This window comes from Homo sapiens, chromosome 1 (assembly GCF_000001405.40).
Source record: "Homo sapiens chromosome 1, GRCh38.p14 Primary Assembly".
Taxonomy (NCBI): Eukaryota; Metazoa; Chordata; class Mammalia; order Primates; family Hominidae; genus Homo; species Homo sapiens.
Genome location: NC_000001.11, coordinates 175,715,776 through 175,739,835, shown reverse-complemented (window position 1 = coordinate 175,739,835; position 24,060 = coordinate 175,715,776). Strand labels below are relative to the sequence as shown.

The 24,060-nt window shown below is 45.0% G+C and overlaps 1 protein-coding gene across 2 annotated transcripts in view, besides 1 other annotated feature; it reads left to right on the top strand.

The window, feature by feature from the left end:
- TNR (tenascin R) overlaps positions 1-24,060 on the top strand; it is a 428,402-nt gene that overhangs the window by 3,760 nt on the left and 400,582 nt on the right. The window lies entirely within an intron of this gene.
- Positions 13,886-14,086: a silencer, noted in NCBI's record as "peak472 fragment used in MPRA reporter construct". NCBI's record gives its function as "represses an SCP1 promoter by STARR-seq MPRAs in K562 erythroleukemia cells {active_cell/tissue: K562}" and the evidence as "EXISTENCE:reporter gene assay evidence [ECO:0000049][PMID:32103011]".

Here is a 24,060-nt window from a genome sequence, read left to right as displayed (position 1 = left end):
GAGTACCTATGTGAGCTTAGTAAAGAAAGAAAGAGGAGAGTTCATTGTGATAGAGCTTATACCATGAAATTGAGTCCTATCCACAAAGGTCATGGCTGAGGAGGGTGCCGTTTCTCTTTATTTAAGAGTAAATTTAGAACCAGAAGCCACTTACAGAGACCCATGTACCAACATAGCTCTATGCAGGGATGTCTCCATTCACCCTGCTTCCGTCCCTGGGTTGTGGGCTGGGTGAGGTAGTACTCTTGCATTTTACCATTAAGAAGTAACGGAGTTATCAGAAGGTTTGGTAACTTTGGTGAATGTGTGTGTGTGTGCGTGCGTGTGTGTGTGTGTGCATGTGTGTGCATGTGTGGTATCAGCACACACGTACAAATATATATAACCAGTTTGGACACCTTGCCTGTCCAATTCTCTTCTACTCTGTCCCTCATTTAAGGGCCACTGGATAAAGATGGGGAATCTCGTGCACCGTTTGTACATAGGGTCTTCCACAAGGAAATCAGAGTTTCTGGCAGATTAATCAGTAAATTAGAATCTTTAGTAGAGCTTAAAATGTGTCCAGGTAGGTCACAGACCTATTTACATGTTCAGAGGTTGCTGATGTCCTCTGCCTCCTTCCATTTGGAGACCTTATTATAACACCTTCTTCCAGGGTTTTGCCTCTTTCTGGGGTCACCTGCCTTTGAGAATGCACTCAGTGCACCCAGCCAGCTCTTTTAGGGGAAGGCTCCTGAGTCACTTCTGCCAGCTGGGATCCCACAGAGTAAAGTGTTGGTTGCTAAACCACCATGTCATGGAAAGTTAGAAGACAGCCAAAGTGAGGACTCCCTAATACAGAAATACAAAGTTGAACGATGCCCACAAGCCAATTCCAGTAGATGATTCGGCAGAAGCGCAGAGATACACTTTTGCCTCATTTTGATGATGTGCTATGCTAATAAAGATGAGATTTCCTACCTAACTAGAGTTTCATCTCCTTAAGAGACAGTCCAGTGGGGAAGGTGGAATTGGAATGGGATTGTTCAAAAGCTATTTCCCATCATATATAAGAACCACTATACTTAGCCTTGGAAACGTGACTTTGAATTACGACTGTATTGGTAAATTTTGAACACAGCAAGCTGATAATATGCCAATTGGCAAAGGGAATTCAAGCAACCTTGTTTTTTTCTCTTTCCCTCCTTTTTAAAAATATAGTTCAATGGCACTAAGTACATTTACATTGTATGCAACCATCATCACCATCATCCATTTTCCGAACTTTCTCATTTTTCCAAATTGAAACTCTGTACACAGTAAACGCTAATTCTCCATTTCCTCCTCCCCCAGCCCTTGGCAACTTCTTCCTGTCTCTATGAACCTGACTATCCTAGGTACTACATGTAAGTGAAATCATACAATATTTGTCCTTTCGTAGCCAGTTCATTTTATTTAGCATAATGTCCTCAAGGTTCAACCATGCTATAGCATGTGTCAGAACTTCCTTCCTTTTTATGGCTGAATAATATTCCACTGTATGTATGTACCACATTTTGTTTATTCATCCATCCATTAATGGACGCTTGCATTGTTTCCTATTCCCCTCCTTTAATTCTTGCCAATTGCCTCTGCTTTACTCTCCAATCAAGTAAGAAAAGGAAACTTTCTTGTCATGACACTCCCATGAGTTAAAATTGTACACTTTCCCTATGACGTTCAAGCAGGTGGCTTCTTGGAGGCAAACGGAGGAGGATACTTGGGGCTGGTGCACATGAATGAATCAGATTTATCTTCTATATTCAGACTCTCATTGCTAATCTGTACAACAGCCAAAGTTTAAGTGAGCATGGATGCTAAACAAAGTGCCCCAATCTTATGCCAGAGAGGTACTAGCAGGCAGGAAGAGGTGCAGCCCTCACCCTTGGGGAGCACGTCTCTGGGTTATGTATTACAAGGTGAAACTTCATAATGGGGGAAGGAGTTCTGGGGTCAGGGACAAATGAGCCAACAGACCCATTAGTTTATTGAAGGGTTCCAGCCTGGTCTCCTCGGGACCCCTATCCTAGAGCAGGGCACTGCCAAGGGCACCCCAACTTGGCTTCTATAATAACATCTCATGCTGTGGCTGTAAATGACTCAATAAAGGTTTATTACCAGGACCCAGGAGGAAGTTGTGGTTATTTAAATCTGGATGTGTCCTCCTCAAACTGCATGGTATGAGGAAAGACAAAGGGGGAAGTCTGGAACATTGGTCCTAGGACATTATCAACCCAGGGTGGCTAACATCTGACAAAAGCTTGGCAACATCTCTGGGCTGGAATTTGGTCTTTGACCCTAGTCCACCTAAAAATTCACATTCCTGGGCCCTGGAAGCTTGGGTCTTTCTATGGCTTAATGATAAAGCTAGTCAACACTTACTGAGTGCTTACTATAAACTTTGGCCAAGTGTTTGGCACAGAGAATGCCCTTAATAAATGTTTTCTGTCATGACTATTAATGAACATTTTGAATACTTTACATCATTTAGTGAGTAAAACATTTTGATATATACTATTGTCCCCGTTTTACAGGTGAAAAAACTGAGGCATAGTGATGCTAAATGACTTTCTTCTGGGTTGAACAGAACCAACAGAAAATCAGAAAGTTTTTATAAAGCGCTCACATTTTATAAAACCAAGCTCTTGAGGGGTTCAGAGAGGCTAACGTGCTTGCCCAAGGCCACACAGCTAGTAGGTGGCAGGGCTGGTTTTCAACCAAATCTGTTTGGAACAGAGCCTACTTTGTGTTGTTGTTGTTGTTATTTTTGTTTTTCTTTTTGCTTTGCTTTGTTTTTGAGATGGGATCTCACTCTGTTACTCAGGCTGGAGTGCAGTGGTGTGATCATGGCTCACCATAGACTCTACCTCCTGGACTCAAGCCATCCCTCCACCTCAGCCCCCTGAGGATCTGGGACTACAGGCATGTACCTACATGCCCAGCTAATTTTTTGATCTTTTTTTTTTGTAGAGATGGAGGTCTTGATATATTGCCCAGGCTGGTCTTGAATTCCTGGCTTTAAGTGATCCTCCCACCTTGGCCTCCCAAAGTATTGGGATTATAAGCAGAAGCACCTGGACAGAGACTAAGTTCTTCCACTCTCTCTGCTGCTTGTATCTTAGTCATCCCTGCTCTGGGCCACATGTACACAGAACCCATGGGGCAAAGGCATCAAGAAGCAAGACCTGGGGAGTTATTAACAGGAAACTGGACTTCAAATTCCTACACATCCCCTCTTTCCCTCACCCTCCCTCACCCCCGAAAAGCCTATAGAGATCATCACATCTTTTTTTTTTTGAGATAGAGTCTTGTTCTGTCGTCCAGGCTGGAGTGCAGTGGCGCAATCTCGGCTCACTGCAAACTCTGCCTCCCGGGTTCACGCCATTCTCTTGCCTCAGCCTCCCAAGTAGCTGGGACTACAGGCACCGGCCACCACGCCCCACTAATTTTTTGTATTTTTAGTAGAGATGAGGTTTCACCATGTTAGCCAGGATGGTCTCGATATCCTGACCTCGTGATCCACCCGCCTTGGCCTCCCAAAGTGCTGGGATTACAGGCGTGAGCCACCACGCCCGGCCCACCACATCTTCCTTAAGTTTTTTTTGTGAGAATTAAATGAGGCATGAGTACAAAGTCCCTGGGACAGTGTCTGTCATGGAACATGTCCTCTAGCCCAGATTGTGCCACTTGCTATTTAATATGGCCTGGGGACTGGGTGCAGCTTGGGGTACTTGGTGTTTCAACAAGCTAGCAATTATTGGGTTGACCCGAATTTTATATGCTCCTCAAGTGCTAATGGGTTGGGTTGGCCCTTGTTTTACATCACCTTGATTTTAGAAGCATGTGTTGGCTATTTTTTCTCCTACTCTTTTAGTACCAAGAGCCAATCTGATATTTTTAAATACCTGAAAGATGCCTCTTCCCAATTAATTACCTTGAAATTGTACTAGACTGAAATTAATTTGAGCCTTAAGGAGGGTTTCCGAGCCCTATTCTGCAGTCAGCCAGAGACCATGAACACTTGGGTTTCCTTTTTTCTACCTTCCCCTCCCTCCAGGTTCTTCTACCATTCTGAATTTTATTTATGAAACATTTTCCCTTCCTTTATAATTTTGTTTTCCATAAGAAGAACATCTAACAACCACCTCCTGGCTGGGCTAGAGTAATTGTTTGAATTTTTTGACATTGTGCAATTTCAAAGGCTTGAGTTTATATAGATTACTTTGAATTTATCTCCACAAGTGCATCGGGACAGAAGCTGCTGCCTGCTTCGTGAAGTATTGTAAGGCTTGTGGCCACTGAGTGCTGGCGTTTGTGTGGATAGCCTGTTTATCTAAATGGATTTCTGTAAAACATATACCCTAATAAGCCAGATTTTGCCAGCTTGTCCTGTGTAAGTACCTCATGATGTCCCCTGTGAATTTGTCAATACCAAGGTCAGCTGTGGTGGCTGGGCCCAGGGACAGGTGTGGAGAGCAGATCAGCTGACAGTCACGGTGCCCTCTTTCCCTCCTCCCAACTGGCCAGCTGTGAGCCAGGGGTGACAGGGCACAGGCAGACAGAGGAGAGGGCAGCGCCAGGGCTGGAGAGCCCATGTCTATCCAGGTGCTGGGAGGAGAGATGTCCAGCTGGGCAGACAGACAGGGCCCTGAACACCAGATGAAAGCCCTGCAAATGGCTGTGTTGAAAAGGGCAGAGGCCAGAGCCACCTATAAAGGGACTGTCTCCTCACGGTGACCCAGTCTGTGCCACAGAGAGATGGAACTTATAAGGCAAGCTGTAAAGCCTCCCATTCAAAGCCGTATATATTTATAGAGATATAAATGAAGTTTAATGCTGGTGAAACTCACTATAAAAGCAAAATACTTCATCTGTATCTACACTTCAGGTGCAGATCAATACAGGGCTTCCTGTCTTTCTGCAAATGAGAGCTGTCTGTGAGCACGTGTGCCCACTCGCTCACACGCAGCCCAGCTGCCTTGCTCTGGAGCCAGCCATGGGGTGGGAGGGACAGAGGTCTTTTGAGCATCTGCAAGTGAGGCGCCCAGCAATGATGCACTCCCCTTTTCTGCGAGGGCTGTTTAAAAACAGGAAGAAAAAAGAGAAAAAGGGAAAAGCACTGCCAAAACCAAGCGGCTTCAAACAGTCAGAAGCCTGGCTTTAAATAAAACAATTTGAGGCAGGTCAGCTTTTCATCTACCTTGGAAGCTGCCAGGTTCCTGCTCCTCAGAGCTCCAGATGGGATGTGACTGCAAAGCCCACCTGACCAGCTCCACCCTCTAAGTGTCTCCGCTGACCTTGCATCCCCTGCTGCCCATGCTGGCCAGGCAGAAACAGTCGATGAAACTCTGCCCAACAAGAGTTTGAATCTTGGCTCTGCCACTTACTAGCTGTGGAGACGTGGGGAAATCCATTGACTTCTCTGATCCTCAGTTTCCTCACCCATCAAATGGGGTAAATAGCTCCTACCTCTCAGAATAGCCATGTCTTTTAAATGAGATGTCATTTTCTACAAAAAGACTTACAACAGCCCTTAGCACATACAGATTCTGCAATTAATAGAGAACTCATTTTTTGGGAATTTCAGGCAGGAAGGGTGTATTTTGAGGCTGGAGATCAGGGGCACAAGGTTGCCCTCATCTATGTCAATATATGTTGACATACATTCTCCCCATGGAGTGGGGAGGCCCTATTTGGCCTGAGGCTGGCTGCAGGAACAAGACATTGCATTCTTGAGACAGGCAGTGGCCTTGAGCCCTGTTCCCTTCTCATACTGTCACCAGCAATCCCTGGCTGCAAGGCCTCTGAGCTCAAGGGAAGGTTGGCTGACCAAATAAGATAGCTCTTATCTCCATGAAGTTGCCCTTGGTGGGCCTGGCTATGTCCTCATAACTGACTCCCTCACAAGGCAAGAAGCAGGAGTGTAGCTCACCAGGGCATGGTTTCCCTGGGAAGTGTGTCTTGGGTGACTAGGGATGCCCTTCCAGACTGGACCCTCGAGAGGCCAGCAAATCATGCCAAGGGCTTAAGTTTCATTGTGGGCCACCCTCCAACCAGGAGCGGGGCCAGGTGAGATGTTCTGGAGGGGAGGAAAGCATGCTGTTGATCCAGACCCTGATCTGTTCCGAGTAGGGTGTGGGGAGGAGACCACTATCAGTCAATCTCTCATTAAAAATGGTCTGAGGCACTGTGCCTGAGTTATTAAAATGCAAAGCAAGAGTGTGCCATGCCCTCCCCTCTACCCCTACCCCTTTTTTTCGTTTGTGTTTTGTCAGCTTAATTTAGTGAGAATGAGAAACTCAGGCAGCCATTCTTGGAGACTGGGAGGGAAAGGGATGAAAGCCCCCAAGAGGGCCTGGGGTGACTTCTCCGGCCGTGTCTTCACTCTGACCCAACAGAGCCCTCCCAAGCAGCATCCTTCTTTGTGGCTGAAGGCCCAGGAGACAGTGAGAAGTGCAGAGACCTGTCTCTCTCTCTGCACTCACCCTGTTCCACTGCTTTCGCTATTTCTTATGGGAGGGGGGTCCTGTGGGCCTCTGGCAACCACAACTGACATTCACTAACTCTGTGACAGTGGGAAATCTGGGAAGGGACCCGGTTCCCACTCCTTGAAATGTTTTGACCTTTTCATTTTAAGTTCTTAAGGTCAAATATTGCTAAAGAGATTATTTGCCAGTGGCAAAAGCCTGCGAGAGGGAAAATAGCATTTTTACTTCTAACGTTTTGCATCTCACTCCAGAGCCAGGCTCAGCAACTGGCCTGACCAAGGCCTGCCAGTGATGAAGGAGGCACTGTGGCAAATGGTTACCTGAGATCTGATTTGGGGATGTTTAGGATCTCCTGGATTTAGAAATCACCAACTGGGTCCCAAAATAGCTCCACCTCTATTTTCAGTAGCAAAATAATCGCTAACATCTACATGACAAAAACTATTTTCAGGCAATGATCTAAGTACTTCATGTATAGAAACTAACTGATCTCAACAATCCCTTTTGGAATGAGGTGCTGTTATTAACCCCTTTTCACAGGTGAGGAAACCAAGACACAAAGTTTACAAAACCTGCCTGAAGACACGTGACAAATGGCAGAGCCAGAATTTGAACCCAGGGATTCTGTGTACCTAATGACTATGCTGTCTCTGAGCATCACTCAGAAACCTTCCAGGTTCCCCACTGCCAGAGAATGACACAAGGAGCTGGAGAATGACAGTCCTTATAAGCTTGGTTTGAACCACAAAGGTCAGGTTCAAAGTAAGACCAGAGCAGTCACTATTTCTCTCTGGAGCTTGGTTCTGCCAGTCCTACCCCCTTCCTTGGGGAGTCATTCTGGTTTTTAAACAAAGCCCCATCTAACTCTCTCAAGATGAGAAAAGAATCCAGGTCCAAAGCAAGTGAGTTTTCTTAAATGGGTTTTCCTTCATCCAGTCTCACAAGGTAGTGTCAATTCTCATCTATCCACAAAAGCCTCATTCACTTTGTGGCTTATTCACTTTGGGGATTATCTGGGCCAAAGCTGTAACTACTCATCCACTTGTGGGCCACTTCTTTTAACTCTGATCTGCCATCACAAAAAATGAAATTTCTAAAATGGATTCTGAAATGATGGTCCAGCTGGGCAGGAATATGGAAGGCAGATACAGCCAAGCCCAATTTATTCCTGTGGAGGTTTCTTGTTGAGCTGTGAGGCCATAAATTGAACCCTAATGGTAGCCAGAGCCTCCAGAAGATTCAAGGGGAGGCAGGGAGTGCTGGTGGGGATATGGGGCAATGCAGGGGCAGCCCAGGCACATTCCTGCTCTGGAGTCAGAGATGGAGATGACAGCAGGGTGTCAGCAGAAGAAGCAGGTGGAATGTTCAGCACTTTATAGCCACCCACAACATGCCAGACACAGCAGCAAACCATGCCAAGAGGCAGATTCCTACCAGAGGAGATGCACTGGGGTCTGGGCAGGCCTGAGAACCCCAGTGCAGGCTGGGTTAGAAGCTAGGGTTTAGCTTTTGCATCAGATGCTGAGCGGAAACAGTTGGTGGGGAGGCACATCACAGCTCTGGGTAAGGTGATTCAGAGCTGAGAACCCATGCCAGTCTTGGAACAACTACCCACAGGCAGCAGGATGCAGGGTAAGCGTGAGATCTGGGAACAGTGAACTTGAACCAGAATCTTGGCTCTGCCCGCCGTGCCTCCTTAATGAAATCATTGAGCCTCTCTGAGCCTTCATTTTCTAGTCTTTAACATGGGAATAATAATTACTGTCCATAATTTTGTGAAAATTGAATAAGGCAACATATATAGGACTCCGGGCACTTAATAGGTACTCTGAAAATGTTTATTCCCCCAGTAGAAAGAATAATTTCCTGCATTTTGTTTGTGCTTTATACTTTTCATAGTTATATACTATATTTGATCTGCACAACCATTGGTGAAGGTAAGCAAAATAATTGCTATTGATTACTGCCAATTTATAGATGGTAGAATTACTATAGAGTTTCAGTGACTTGCCCAAGATAGCACAGGGCAACAGTGACAGAATTGAGATCGCAACCATACTAACTCGCACTTTTCAGTTGAACCATTTATGGTTCCTTTTGTTGTCCTGTAATTGGGCTGGTGATTGAAATCACGAAGGTCAAGAAGACCCACTGTTCCAATGGCCAGAAGACAGAACCAGCTTCATGGGCTCTGCAGTATCTCTGTGGATACTGGGCAGGGCCTGGGGTGTCATTTAGAGACTTTGGCACCAGGCCTCTCAGGTCCTCTTATTACTACAATATGTTCTGAGGTAGCTTCCTTAGTAGCTTAGTGCTGAATGCTATAGAGGCCAAGCTTCCTTTAAGTCAAATAGCCTTGGCTTTCTGCCCCCGGACAGACATCTTGGGAACCTGAGTCACCCAGCATGTCCACTGCAAAGGAAGCAGCTTCTACCTCATTCCTCCACTAACCACAGAAGACAAAGCCTGTGTGTGCAGCAGGTCAGTAGCCTCAAATGTTAGCTCCACAGAGAAGCCCACCATAGTACTCTTATCTAAAATAGCTCTCCTTGTCACCACTCTCCCACTTTATTTTTGTTTATCACATTTATCACCAGCCAACATAGTATATATGTATGTTATTTCTTCCTTATTGTCCGTTCCCTCCCAATAGAATATAAACCTGGTGAGAATAAAGACATTCTCTGTCTTATTCACACTTACATTCCCAGCCTGGAATTCTGTTGGCATTCAGTAAATATTGGTTGAGTGAATGAACAAATGGGTTTTCATCCAGTGTTCTCTATTTCAACAAGCTGTTATTAAAGATCTACTCTCTGCCAGTCATTTCATTAAAGACTGGATGTGAAGTTGAGTGACAGATGGTTCCCTGTCTTTGAGGATCTCCCAATCTGGTTGGAGTAGAGGGGGAGTCACAAAGATAACTTCCTAGCATTGTGCTAATGTCTAGGAACCAGCTGTGTCAGGTAGGAGTGGAGTCAAGGGAAGGGTGACTCATTCTGCTCAGGGTATCTTATTAAGTTCCACAAAGGAGATGGCAGGTGGGTTGCAGGTTAAGTGTGCGTAGGGCTTTGCCAACCCAGAAGGGGCACTCCCGGTAGAAAGAACAGCATATGCAAAGGCTCGGGGTCCTAGAAAAGGCATATTGGAAGGTAACCGAGAAACGTGATGTGGCTGGAACAGAGAAGCATTGGGCCTTCATGCAGGCGGTAGTGAGAATGGTGAGAGATGATACTGAAAAAGGAGACTGGAATTTGGTCTTCCTTTCAGGATACTCATGGGGAGAATTACCAGCTGCTCAGAGTACCTTAGGCATGAGATCTTAAGCTATGTTGTAGGATGCAAGCTTGTTGCCTCTTTCATCAGAGAATTACAGGAGCAGCTTAACTAAATTTTATTGACGATTGAGATGCTCTTTTATATTAGTCACACTTTTTATGCAAGATCTCCAAGTCCGAGAGTGATGGAGGGACTTGGGGTGAGCAGATGGGACCCACATAGCTGCCAGATTCCCCATCTTCAGTAGAATTCCAGGGGATGCTGTGCTCTTCTTGTTTTAACAACCTAAGGCCAGTTCCCAGCCACCCATGCTGATTCATTCATTCTAGATAGTTTCATAAAAATGACACCACTCAAATTGGTAATATAGAGATTAAAGGCAAGATTGTTTAGTGAGAATGAGAGATACAGAAATAAATGAATGAAAGAAAAGGAAGGGAGGGAGGGAGGAAGGAAGAGACTAGGCATGGTGGCTTATGCCTGTAATCCCAGTGTTTTGGGAGGTTGAGGTAGGGGATCGTTAGAGGCCAGAAGTTCGACGTTGCAGTGAGTTATGATCTCACCACTGCACTCTGGCGTGGAGACAGAGCAAGACCCTGTCTTGAAAGGGGGACAGAGAGAGAGAGAGAGAGAGAGGCCTTACACCAGAAACTTGAATGCTCATTCTGTTTGCTCTAACTGTGGCTTATTTAAGAAAATTGTCCATTCTGCTTATTAAATCCCTTCTCTTCTGGAAAGAGGATGAGGCTGGGAGGCTCCCATGCCAGGGGCTCCACTCCAGGAAAATGCTTCCCTATTGATTTGCGTGTCAGCAATTCAAATGGGGGCATTTATACTGTGGCTGAGCACCTAATAAAAATTTAAATTATTGTTTAAAAAAAATGGAAGGAAGGAAAAAACTCGTCAAGGAACAACCTGCTAAGGAGAATAAAAAATAGCCACACATAGGATATGAGGGCCTCAGGAAAGGAACTGGAACACTAGGGTTGTGAGTTTCACCAAGATGTGTCTCAGGCCCTTGCAGTTCTCCTTTTGAATGCCTCTCCCTCTGATCCAAACACCTCTCCCAGGCTCTGCAGTTCTGACTTCAGACCCCGGCTTCATCACTCATTAGCTCGGGAGCTTGGGTAAATAACAAGCATTTCTCTCTTACCTCTTCTGTTCCTTAAGTAGGAGGAAACAATGGAATCTCCAATATCACTTATGCAAAGCTCCTGGAAAGAGCATAACACATAGTAGATGCTCAACAAATATTGATTTCCCTACCTCCTTTACCCTGTATAGGATCCCATATTCAGTTGCTTCCTCAAAGGCCATGCCCTATAGCCTATTAAAATCTGATTGCAGCCAGTTGCTGTCCTACTTGAAAGGCCCTGAGCCACTAAATCACACCTATGTATAAATGATTGATAATGAATTAATAGGTTAGGTGGTAGCACTTATGGAAAGCAGAAGGCAAGAACCAAAGGAAGCTTTAATGGCAGAATGTTAGAAACAAGTTATAGGCCTCTGCAGCGAGAATTTGGGTGATGAGGCTTCAGCAGAGTTCCTTAAATCATGCCTGCTAGGAAACCATCTCTCTCGTCACATGTAAGGACAGATGGTACACAGGATCAGAAGAGCAGGCGTTAGGACCCTCAAATTTTAATGTTGGCATCAGAGGGCTCACCCACTCCCTGACCATATCCTTGACCTTGACAGTGTCATTAATTGTACCTTCTCCAAAGTCTTGACTTCAGGCCTCCTGACAGCTTGTCTTTTCCTTCTGGCTCTAGTATTCCAACTCCAGCAATTACATAATTGCAGCCTCTGACCTTGCCTCTTTTTAGCCATCCATAGCCTCACCCTGGCCTCACCTTACGAGGCTTAGAGTCCACCATCCACTGTTACCACTGATCTCCTGCAGAAACCTCTCTGGACTTCTTTTCTTGTACTCATCTGGCAAAACCCCAACCTGGTTAAACCCAATTTCTGGTCTATCCACACTTATGTCTGAACAACTATACATTGCCAGAGAAAAATAGATAGTTGTGCTGACTGTTGTCACTTAACAATAATGACCGTAATTCCCAAATGAATACTAGAAATAGTCTGGCAAACTCACTATATTTTCCTAGTAAGTTACCTTTCCTGCCTCCACAATTTTATTTCTCCTTTCTCAAGAGACAGTTGCCCTCACTTTTTAATCTCCTCTCAGATGATGACCTTGCCTTGTATTTTATAGACAGGCAGTCCCTCATTTTCCTGCCACTACCCCATACCTCTTGTTGTCCCTGTGCCCATCCTCTTGGCCTTCCCTTTTTATTCATGGGTGCCATGGCCCTGCTTCTTGCCAAGGCCAACCCTCCCCAAGTGCCCTGGACCACACCATCTCAGGCTTCCTAAGCCTCTGTTCCTGCAATTATCACCACTTGAATCCTCAATTTCTCCCTTACTGCTTTATTTTTCTGTAAGCATAGAAATGTGTTCTGATATCTCCTACCTTGAGAAAGTGAAAGCCTCTCTTGACTCTACTCTCCTTCCAGTTTCCACCCTATTTCTCAGCTCCCATCTACAGCAAAACTTACTGAAAACATCACTGTTTCCAATTCTCACTTCCAGTCTCTCTTCTCCCAAGCAGGCTTCCATCCTCACTACTCCAAAGAGACTGCTCTTGTCAAGGTCTCCAGTGAACTTAATCTCACCAAATCTCCTGGTCCTTTTTCTATGTTAACTTGGTACTTGGCCTCTCAGCATTATTGGACAATTATTCGTACTTACTATTGGGAAAACTGGGGTCCATGATAATTACTATGGAGAAATTTGGGGTTTTAAACAAAGATCTTATAGATCCAAAGTTTTAGGCAATGTGTACCTTCTAAAAAGATTCACAATTTTTTTGACTCCATATGCACTGTTAAGTAGACAACAAGGTCAACCAGCAAGGTCGTAGAGTCAGGAGAGTTCCCTTGTCATTGCTTAGGCAGCCCCCTTGTGAGAGCCTGGCCTCTTTCTCTGGAGTCATCAAGGAGTAGGCAGGGAGAAAGGGTCTTCATTTCAGTCCAGTGTTGAGCCATGGCTTCTTCAAGCCCTTGTTTCTGCTTGGCTGTCACTCCTTACATGCCACATTGGGGCTCATTCAAGCTGATTTCCCCAGCCCTGCCCACTTCCACCTCTTTGTTGATTTACCTATAATCAAGAGCTATTTGTATATCATATTTACTTCACTGAAAAACAGCCATTACTTTGAAGGATTTCATAACATGCTATCAAATAAATTTTTTGAAAAAATAATATTTTAAAAGTACTCAGTCTTTGCAATAATTTGTGATCACATTTTGTCTTTCAATTTTTCTTTTATATTTTATATTATTGGCCTGGATTTGGTCTTTAAAAGTCTAAACCTCAAATGCAGATCTTGCCTAGGCATTTGCTGACCTACAACCAATGAAAAAGATGTTTTCTTAGTCACAGAGTATATTCTGCTTTGCAGAGGTACTTTCTCTGACCACAGACAAGGAGGGTAGTTTTGTTCCTAGTGAAAACTCACTGAACAACACCCTCAGACTCTTATTTGACTACAGGTACCTTAGGAGTTTGAGGAGGGATATCTGAGATGCAACTTTACTTTCATATTAAGGTTCAGGCCTAAACTGCAGAAAATCTATACAATCACACTTTTTAACTTAAAACTTATTAATCAGCAGCAACCTGGACTTCCTCCTACATCTCCAAAGATCCCACCAAATATATTGCTGCTCATCATTTCCTGGTCTTCTATAGCACTGCTGAATGTAACATAGGGTAGATGCCTGTATCATCTGAGTAACAGATGATTAGTTGATGGGTGTTGGTATGGCCTTTTATTACTTATCTGTGTAATCTTTGAGATGTTCTTGAGGACTGGTACTTTAGCATACCCAATAGCACTAATAACTTTATATGTTTTTCTGTTATCATATTTACTATCATTTAAGTAATCAATTTTCTGCCCCATTTATTTGTCCATTCTATGAAAGACGTGCTGGAAACCTCAGGGTGGCTCCTAAACACTCTAAGTTCTTTTTTCTCATTGCAGTTTTTATGTACTTGGCACCTCTAATGCTTCCTCCCATCATTCCACTTTCATTTCCATGACATATTCTGAAGTACAGAAACAAGAACACATTGTAGAGCCCTCAAGTAAGAGGCAACCAGGCTTCAGGAACTGTCCTAGGTGCTGAATATCCAGCAGTGACGAAGGCCTCTGAGCTCCTGAAACATTCATTGAGGGGAGACATGTAACACATCCATCGCCAAGTTCTGTTGACTTTACCTCCTTAATATCTCTTACATCAGGACATTCCTCTCCATTTCTAACCTGCTAGCACCTTAAACTGTCTTCGTCTTTCTCTTCTACTATTAAAACAAGTACCTATTTTCCCCACATCTTCTCTTGCCTGTTATTTTTTTCCCCAAATTGTGATCCTTTATTTTCTTTAAAATAAATAGTTGCCATGACTGTTATTGATGAAGAAACAGATGTCACTGAACTATTGAGAGCTTTGGTCATCGTGGATGTTGACATCTGGGATGTGTTTTGTGAACATTTGTCATTTTAGTTATAGAATTTAAAGTGGTGGAAGTCGTATCTGTTGAGACCCCTGATGTTGCCATTTTTGACAATGCTGTGGTTTTCATGGTGATGACTGTCATATTGCTTAAGACTGAGGAAACTAAAGTTTGTGATAATTCCACAGTGCTATGGGAAGGTTCACTTATATGGCTGGAAAGCACATGTTGGATATTCTAGTTCTAGAGATTGGGAAGTTCAAGATCAAAGCACCAGCAGATTCATGTTTGGGTGAGAGCTTGCCTTCTGTATAGATGGCACCTCCTCATTGCATCCTCACATGGTGGAAAGGGGCCTGTTGCTTTTTTCCAATCTGTTCTCTACACTTCCATTGATGGTCTCAGCAATATGTACATCTGATCATGTCACTCCCCTGCTTAAAACCTTCAAGCACTTCCCATTGATCTTAGGACACAGGCAAAAGTTCTTAACGAGGCTCTATATGATCCAGTCCCTGTTTCTCTCTCTAGCTTTGCCCCCTCTCACACCCTGGGCTCAAGCCACACTTGAGCTGTTTTCTGAGTTCCCCACACTCCCTAGGGTCTGCTCTATGTTCTTCCCCTTTTTCCTTCTTCCTCTCCCCTCCAGGCCATTTCGCCACATCTTCCTCCCTCTGCCAAACTCATTTTTATCTAAGATCTCAGCTGAGATGCCCCTTCCTTCAGGAAGCCATCCCTGGCTCCCCAGACCAAGCCAGGTGCCATGGTTACATGTTCTCATAGAACCTTCTAAGTTTCTCTTTATCATTTGAAAGTTTTAAATTGTGAAATGTAAAACATGCATAAAAGTGTACATAAAACATAAACATTAAATTTAATCAATAACAATAAATCAAATTCCCCATAACCACCCTTCAGGTCAAGGAATAGATCATTACTAAGACACCAAGAAGAACACCCCTGATATGGTTCGGATCTGTGTACCCACCAAATCTCATGTCGAATTGTAATCCCCAGTGTTGTAGGTGGGGCCTAGTGGGAGGTGATTGGATCATGGGAATAGATTTATCATGAATGTTTTAGCACCATCCCCCTTGGTACTGTCATCATTATAGTGAGTGAGTTCTCACTAGATCTGATTGTTTAGAAGTATGTAGCACCTGTCCCTTCTCGCTCTCTTCCTCTTGCTGTGGCCATGTAAAGTACTGGCTCCCCTTTGCCATCCGCCATGATTGTAATTTTCCTGAGACCTCCCCAGAAGACAAGCAGATGCCAGCATCATGCTTCCTGTACAGCCTGCAGAACTGTGAGCCAATTAAACCTCTTTTCTTTATAAATTACCCAGTCTCAGGTGTTTCTTTATAGTAATGTGAGAAGAAACTAATACAATCCTGATCGCAAACCCTCATCTCCACTGGCAATAACTGCTTTCCTGACTTAATGGTAATAATCTCCTCACTTTTGGAGGGTTTAGAATTTATAAACATAGAAATATATACAGTTTATATATCCAATATCAATTTTCTCAAATTTGCTCAAAATATTAAAAATAAAAATATTATATTCTGTATAAACATATACTTTATATATAAATTTGTGAGTTTTTCCTGTTAGGAGCCAAGAAAAAATAAATTTATTTATTTATTTATTGAGACAGAATCTCACTCTGTTGCCTAGGCTGGAGTACAGTGGTGTGATCTTGGCTCACTGAAACCTCAGCCTCCTGGGTTCAAGTGATTCTCAGCCTCTTGAATAGTTGGGATTACAGGCGTGAGCCACCACGCTCAGCTAATTTTTAAAAAATTATTTTTAGTAGAGACGGGGTTTCACCATGTTGGCCAGGCTGGCCTCGAATCCCTGGCCTCAAGTGGTCCACTCGCTTCGGCCTCCCAAATTGTTGAGATTACAGGCATGAGCCACTATGTCTAGCAAAATAAATTTATCAGTTTAGAAATACATACGTATATATTCTAACCATATATATAAGACTACTTAGTTAATATCCATGTTTCCCAGTAGACTGTAAGCTCCAAAAGAGCAAGGATAGAGTCTCTTTTGCTCACCTTTGTCTTTCCAGAGTCCTGCCCAGTCCCTGGAGTGTAGTGAATCCTCCATACATATTTGGAGACTGAGTGGAGATGACACCCAGGTAGACTGCAGATAAGGGCTGAGCTCCTATGAAAGTCCTTCTGAGGACCCCTTTTTAGAAGAGGGCTGCAAATTGGGCATTAGGGCATCCACTGTGTATGAGGAATATGTTTAGATGCCTCTGTCATGTTCCTCCCAAAAACCTTAAATAAGAAAGGTGATGAAGAAAGCTATGTGGGAAAATAATTAAGTCTGTCTATTGTGCATCTTTCTATGTATCTCTTTGTTTATCTATCCAATCATGTAATATTATACAAATGCACACCTATTAAAATATATTAGAGGCTGGGCACAGTGACTCATGCCTGTAGTCCCAGCACTTTGGGAGGCCGAGGTGGGCAGATCATGAGGTCAGGAGCTTCAGACCAGCCTGGCCAACATGGTGAAACCCCGTCTCAATTAAAAATACAAAAATTAACCCATCATGGTGGTATGTGCCTGTAATCCCAGCTACTTGGGAGGCAGAGGCAGGAGAATTGTTTGAACCCAGGAGGCAGAAGTTGCAGTGAGCTGAGATTGTGCCACTGCACTCCAGCCTGGGCGACAGAGTAAGACTCTGTCTCGGGGGCAGGGGGGAAGCAACTATATATATATATAACAAAAATAGGCCAGGCACAGTGGCTCATGCCTGTAATCCCCCAGCACTTTGGAAGGCTGAGGCAGGCAAATTGCTTGAGCTCAGGAGTTCAAGACCAGTGTGAGCAACGTGGTGAAACCCTGTCTCTATAAAAAACGCAAAGATTAGCTGGGCATGGTGGTGTGCACCTGTAATCTCAGCTACCTGGGAGGCTGAGATGGGAGGATTGCTTGAACCTAGGAGGCAGAGGTTGCATTGAGCTGAGATGGTGCCACTGCACTCTAGTCTGGGCAACAGAGTGAGGTCTTGTCTTAAAAAAAATTAAAAAGACAGGAAAAATAGAGCATGGTAGAAGAATAGGGTGGGAAAAATGGTTACTGTCACCATAAGCAGGCATAAGTATTGGCGTCCATTCATGACCTACAGGAATAAACCCTTTCCCTGTCAGCAACTTGGACTAGAGGATGGTGAAGAAATAAACTGTGTCTCAGGGATTTGATTCATGAGGCAGAAAACCCGTGGCAGGATCATGGAAACACATGAATTATTCACAATTCAAACCGATAGGGGAAGGAGGAGGAGGGGAATGACCAGGAAAGGAACATCAAGGAAATGAAACCCTCCATGGCCAGGGAGGGCCCGGAGGGTGGCAATGGGAGCTGCCGCCCAAGGGGACCAGGCCAGAGTGATGGAGGGAGGAAAGCCCACCAGTGACTTGGACAGGGGAACTGAGAACACCTGGAGGGAGTGAGGGTGGTCTTGCAATCCTGGGATGGGTAAACTGAGGGAGTGTCCCTACATCTGAAAGCCAGTCACAGCTGGGGTAGCAGTCCAGCAGCTCATGATTGGGTTTAAAAATAAATTCTGATGCCAGGCTCACAGCTGTCCTGTGATTGCAAGAGAGGGGAAGCACATCCGACCGGGGAGGCAGGCTGGTCAGTGGGGTGGGGGGAGGGCGCTGGTGGATCTGAGAATTGGGGGAGAGTGGATGCGCAGGATGAGAGCAGGTGTCGCCCTCTGGGAAGAACTTGCTCTTCACTCCAGTTGATTTGAGTGTGTGAACAGGGTTGGGGAGCTAGGGAGAAAAGACAAGGCTTGTTCCTCAACACTGAAGACAGACTTAGGGGTGTGCAGAAGTGAGAGGGAGCCCATGGTGAGTAAGAGAAAAAGGTGAAGGCAGGTTTCAGGAGCTGAGTAAGGCAGTGCAGAATGAAGAGAAGCCCACGGCATTGTCAGGAGCAGGATTACAGCTAACGGGTTTCAAGAGAGTCAGTTAGGAGGCAGCTGGGTGGAATGGCGACAGATCAGTCTGGTTTAAAAACCTGGGTGGGGTGAACACAGCCAGTACACGTTTACTGCCCCACTAAGAGCATAGCACAACTCGGCATGCCCACACATATTTGTTGAGCACTTACTATGCGCCAGGCTGGGCATGCAGAAAAAGGTCATCTCTCAAAGAGCTTACACTCTAACTCAAAGAAATAGATAATAAACATGTAAACAAATAATCAAGTAAGATTATTTTAAATACCCCAAAGAGCTATGGAAACAATGAAATAGGGTGATTTGTTAGAGACTCACAGGGTATGTGGGAAGTAGAGGTGGGGCTGCTTTAGTGAGGGCAGTTAGGAAGCACCTGCCTGAGGAGGTGGCATTTAAGCTGAGCCCTGAATGATGAGCAGAAGCCAGTCTTGTGCTCATCTGAAGAAAACAGAAAGCAGAAAGCTCAGAATGCAGCTAAGCAATGAAGATGAATATGCATAAGACAAGGGTCCCATGCCCTCACTGTAGCTCTGCTTCCTCCATCTGAAAAATGAGAGGGTTGGGCAAGATGATTGCTAAGCCCTTCTCAGTGTGGCGTAAAATCTCAGAAAGTCTTCATGGAAAAGGTGGGACTTGAGCTGGATCTTGAAGAAAGATCCTTAGAGCGCTAGTGTGGTTATTTAAACCAGCATAAAAGCTATATAGTTTTCTAAAACCTTGAATGAGAGCAAAACAGGAATATCTGCTTCCTCTGGATTGAGGCGTAATCCTCCTTCCTCCACTGGGCAGGAAACTTCTGTCCTAAAAGGCAGACATGCTCAAACTCTGTTGCCTCTGGAAGCCTTGTTGCACATTAAAATCTATTACTTCCTGCTCCCATTGCAGAATACCTCTATTTGACTGCTTATCTCATTATGCCTTTTAAAATAGTTCATAAAGCTATCAACCTATTGAAACATCTACTTCCTTTACTTACGTGTAAACTCCTTATTAAGCTCTGAGCCCAAGCACAGTTCCCGTCTTGGGGCAGGTGTCCCCATGGAAGTTAAAGGACCAAATGAATTGTGGATATGTTAGTCAGCTAAGGCTGCCATAATGAAACACCATAGCCTAGGAGGTTTAAACAACAGGAATTCATTTTCCACAGTACTAGAGACTAGATGTTCAAGATTAAGATTCTGGCTAATGAGATTCCTGGTGAGGGCTCATTTTCTGGCTTGCAGATGATCAACTTGTCAGTGTATCCTCACATGACAGAAAGAGAGAGAGAGAGAGCACAAGAGAGCAAGTGAGCTCTGGTCTCTCCTGCTTCTTATAAGGATGCTGATCCTATCTGATCAGAGCCCTACCCTTATGACCTCATTTAACCTTAATTACTTCCATAAGGACCCTATCTCCAAATTGTCACACTGGGGTTTAGGGCTCTAACATGTGAGTTTTGGGGACACATCCAGTCTATAACAGTAAGTGAAGATATGAGTGAGTGAGACAGTGCTGGAAACAGTCCAGATCTCCCTCTTTGGGCAGAAACGTGTTGCTCAGCAGGGCTGTCCCGGGAAGGCAGCAGGCAGTGCCCTGCCTGGCAGGCACGCCTGCCACTACAGGAACTGTTGTGGAAATGAGAAGATTTAGGAAGAAACATACTTGGCTCCAACAGGGTCCCACACAGGCCAAATAAGTGGAATCTGATCCTGGTCTGAGAGCTGGTTTGAAGAATGGGGAGGGTATTAGAAGTGGGGTAGGGAAGGGACAGCAGGTAGGGAAATAAAGGAGAACTTGCTGTATCTCCCAGCGGGGTCTCTGCTATCATTGTGTCCTAGTCACAGCCTCTCTAATCAGGGACACTTGGGCTTGGCTATCTTTCCTGCAAGACTGTGACCATTCTACTTGGGCAGCCAGGGGCTAGGCAAGAATAACAGCAAAACAAATGAACGTGTTTTTGAATGCTTACTGCATCCCAGGACAATTCTAAGTGCTTTATGTGTGCTAACTTACTGCATCCTCATACTGGTTACCTCATTTTCATTGGAAAACTGAGGGAGATGAAGTACCTGCCTACATCCTCACAGCTGGTGATGGCAGCTGGGAACCTCGGCTCAAAACTCTGCAGTCAAGACTCTGATGGCTGCACAGGCTGCCTCAGGGCTGTGGCCTCTGCCACTGTGCACACTTTTCAATGGGGGTGCTGCAGTGTGTGGATGGGGGAGGGGTGAGGACCTCTCTGCTAAGCCACAGTAGCCTGAGCTTCTTAGATCATGCCCCAATATCCCGACACCCCTGTGTGCAGCCCAAGAGGTGGGCCACAGCCCGGGGACAGCTGCCACCTCTTCTGAGGCTTGGGGTACTCCATATCCTCACTTTTTGGGCCTTTTCTCACCCATGCTTCTGTAGGGAGGGAGCCAGAGACAAGGAGGGACTTGAGACTGGAGGAGGAGAAAGAGAAAGAAATACCAGGGAGAGAGAAGATAAGCAAATGAAGGCCACAGATAGGCCTGGATGGCCACTGGGGACAAACCAACTGCAGCTTCAAGGGACCTTCTTGTCTGAAATTGGCAGATTGTGGGATTGCGGGGAGGGGAAAGTGAACGTCCTTGCTGGTAGAACTCAGACAAGCTGTTTGTCAGGGATAGTTCTCTTGCCCAGCACCAACAGAGTCTAAGTGTATGTCTGCATGCTGGAGAAGCACTGGATGGAGTCGGAAAACTTGCATTCTAGGCTTGCCTTGGCCATAAATGACCTGTGTTACGTTAGACAAGTCATATAATCCCCCGGGCTTCTGTTTACATGATATGGCCATGTGACAGATCTCCCAAGCCCTTCTAACACCTAACGACGTTCTTGGTTTGTCTGACCCCTCAGGGTTATGCGGTCTCAGTTTATTTGTCTATTTAGGATGGAATGAGAATATTACCAGACCCATCGAGGGGAGATAAAAGTCTCTGTGGCTTTGCCACAAGCCCAGGTGGACCCACCCTACTAAACTGCCTAGGCCTGACAAACACCGTGGGTCCTGCCCCTCACTTTCCTGCTCCTTGCATTTGCCTACCTGTGACCTTGGCCACCTCCTTCCCCTACCCAGGTCTCCAGCTCCTCTCTGGGGTTTCAGGGGATGAATAGGATAATGCTTTCTAATTAGTGCGAGTGCTGCGAGTCAGGATAAAGGACTCTTCTAATCTAGTTGTTTCTGGGATTATTCATCCAGAAACATAAATGAGCATTTAAATGAGAGTGAAGGCTGGGGAATGCAGGTCAGAGAAGGCCAGGACAGGGGGTGCTGGGGAAGGACTGGGGCAGAGTTCTGGGGAGTTGCTTGGCAGATGCCCTTGGCTCTACATGATATTTTGTTTCACCCATGATCTCAGTCTCCTCGAAATTCAGCTTTCACTGCTCCAGAATTCCCCCACACTCATGCCCCTCTCTTGAAAAATACATTTTATTAACTCATTCGATGGCTGCGCCAAAAGGGACCAGCTACTAACAACTGACAGTAGGCATCTTTGGTACTTACGTGAACAGAAACCTCTGCCATGTGTTACTAAGAGCTGCAGACCACAATCTCCAGGCTCAGTCCTTGTCCCTGGAGTGCTGGTTCTGAGAGCACTTGCTGGGGGAAGCTGGCTTTCTCGATTATGCAGGTATCTATGAAGGGCAGAACAATTTATTAGCTGTGTGTGTGTGTGTGCATGTGCGCTCACCCATGAGGACACCCTGCATGCAGACACAGAAACTGTGACATCTGTGCTTTTGGTTTTGATACCTGACAAAAGGGACAAAGGGACGTGGTTTAAATGTCACAGCAAGGGCCTTTGACTAGGGTAGTTAGGAAAGCAGATGTCTCTGTGCCTGACTCCACTGTAGGAAGCACTGGGCCCATGACCTCAGGTCCCACACCTTAGTGCATTGACTTTCTAATTTGAAATTATTTTCAGGAGGAGAAAAAAAGTCTAAGATAAAAATATAGATATATTCACGCCTTTATTCAACACCCACTTATTAAGCACTTAATTTGTCCAAGCCACTGTTAAACAACATGAAGGGCAAAAATCGCTGTTAGACTACTAATGATGAACACTTTAAAAGTGATTTCAACTTCTATTTTAGATTCGTGGGGTACAGTGCAGTTTTGTCACCTGGGTATATTGCGTGATGCTGAGGTTTGGGGTATGATTAATCTCATCACCCAGGTACTGAGCATAGTACCCAATAGTTAGTTTTTCAACCCTTGTCCCTCTACCTCCCTCCCTACTCTACTAGAACTTTTATAAAACAGATAAGAATCATGCTTCCCATTTTGCAGAACAGGAAACCGAGATTTTAAAAAACATATCCAAAGTCTCACAGCCAAAGTTTTATTTATGAGGTGTCAGAACACAAATTTAGCTCTTCTGGCTCCAAGATAAATGCTCTAAGAAATGTTTTAGTCTTTCAAGGAGGTGGCATTTAGATAAAGAGGATATGGCAAGACCACAGAGCATAGTACGAGGAAGGGCAGGGCATACACTATGGCTAATGTATAAGTAAGTGCTATGGTAGTTCTGAGGAGGGCTCTGTAATGGAAAGGTCACAGAGTGGGTAAATTGGGCTCAGCTTGGAAGGATAGGGAGCATTTTCATCTATGGAGGGAGAAGTGGAAGTCATCCTAGGCAGAAGGAAGGGTGACAGCAAAATGACAAAGGACGATGTGGACAGAAGTTGGTTGCATGTAGCAAATGGTCTAGATTGGCTAGAGCAGTGGTCTTCACCTGGCTACGTATTAGAGTCACCTGAGCAGGCTTTAAAATGACCAACTCCTGGGCCTCATGTCCAGCTTTTCTGGTTAATTCATCCTAATCATTGGTCTCATTGGTGTTTTATAAAACTCCCTGAATGATTCTATTTGCAGCTTGGATTGAGATTCACTAGCATTGTTGAAGGACTTGGGGCAGGGGATGGTTGGTTCCACAATGGGGCCATCACAATCACACAGGTACAACATCAACAGGATCTGAATAAAGGAGGTGAAAATGGGAACAGAAAGAGAGGGTTGGGCAAGAGCTCTTTGAAAGGCAGTACCTCCAGGACTGAGCATACACAGGAACTTACAAGCCATGACAACTAGAATGCAAGCCTGGGTGCCCTTCACAGGAATGAGAAAACAACAACCAGGGGGAAGGGGAGACAGATGTGGGAGGAGTAAGGTTTGGATTTGAGATGTCTTGAGTTTAAAGGCAATGATTATTAGGCCATCAGACAGGAATGCCCAGCAAGTCAAGTGGGTTTAAATTTAGGTTAAGAATGGAAAATGGAGAATCTTGAGGACTCATCTTCCTAAAAGTGGTAGTTGAGGCTGAGGCAGTGCATGAGCTTTGAGACACAAAAGAGAAAGAGAAGACCAGAGGGCTCAGGTGGGAAAGCCTAGGTCTAGGAAGCAGAAGGACAAAGAGGAGCTTAGAAGCAATTCCTAAATGGAGAATTGTTCCATTTGCATTAGCCAAGGCCAGTGTCTGCGGGGGATGGGCAATGGGCAACAGAGTCATTTTTCATGGGCCTGGCTGCCTGCTACTCGGAAATTGATCAGCTGAGTCAATAGCTCCGTGCTCAGACACGAAGCTTCACTGATGTGTGTGCAGGAAGTAGGGCAGTTGCATCCCAGCTCTCCCTCGCCAGAAACACAGCCTGCTCAGTGTTCTGACAGAGAATCTGAGCTCATTTTGCCACCACTCTTGGCCTTCAGTAGCAGGAAGGAGGAATAAGCCCCAGACACACACAGGTTATGAA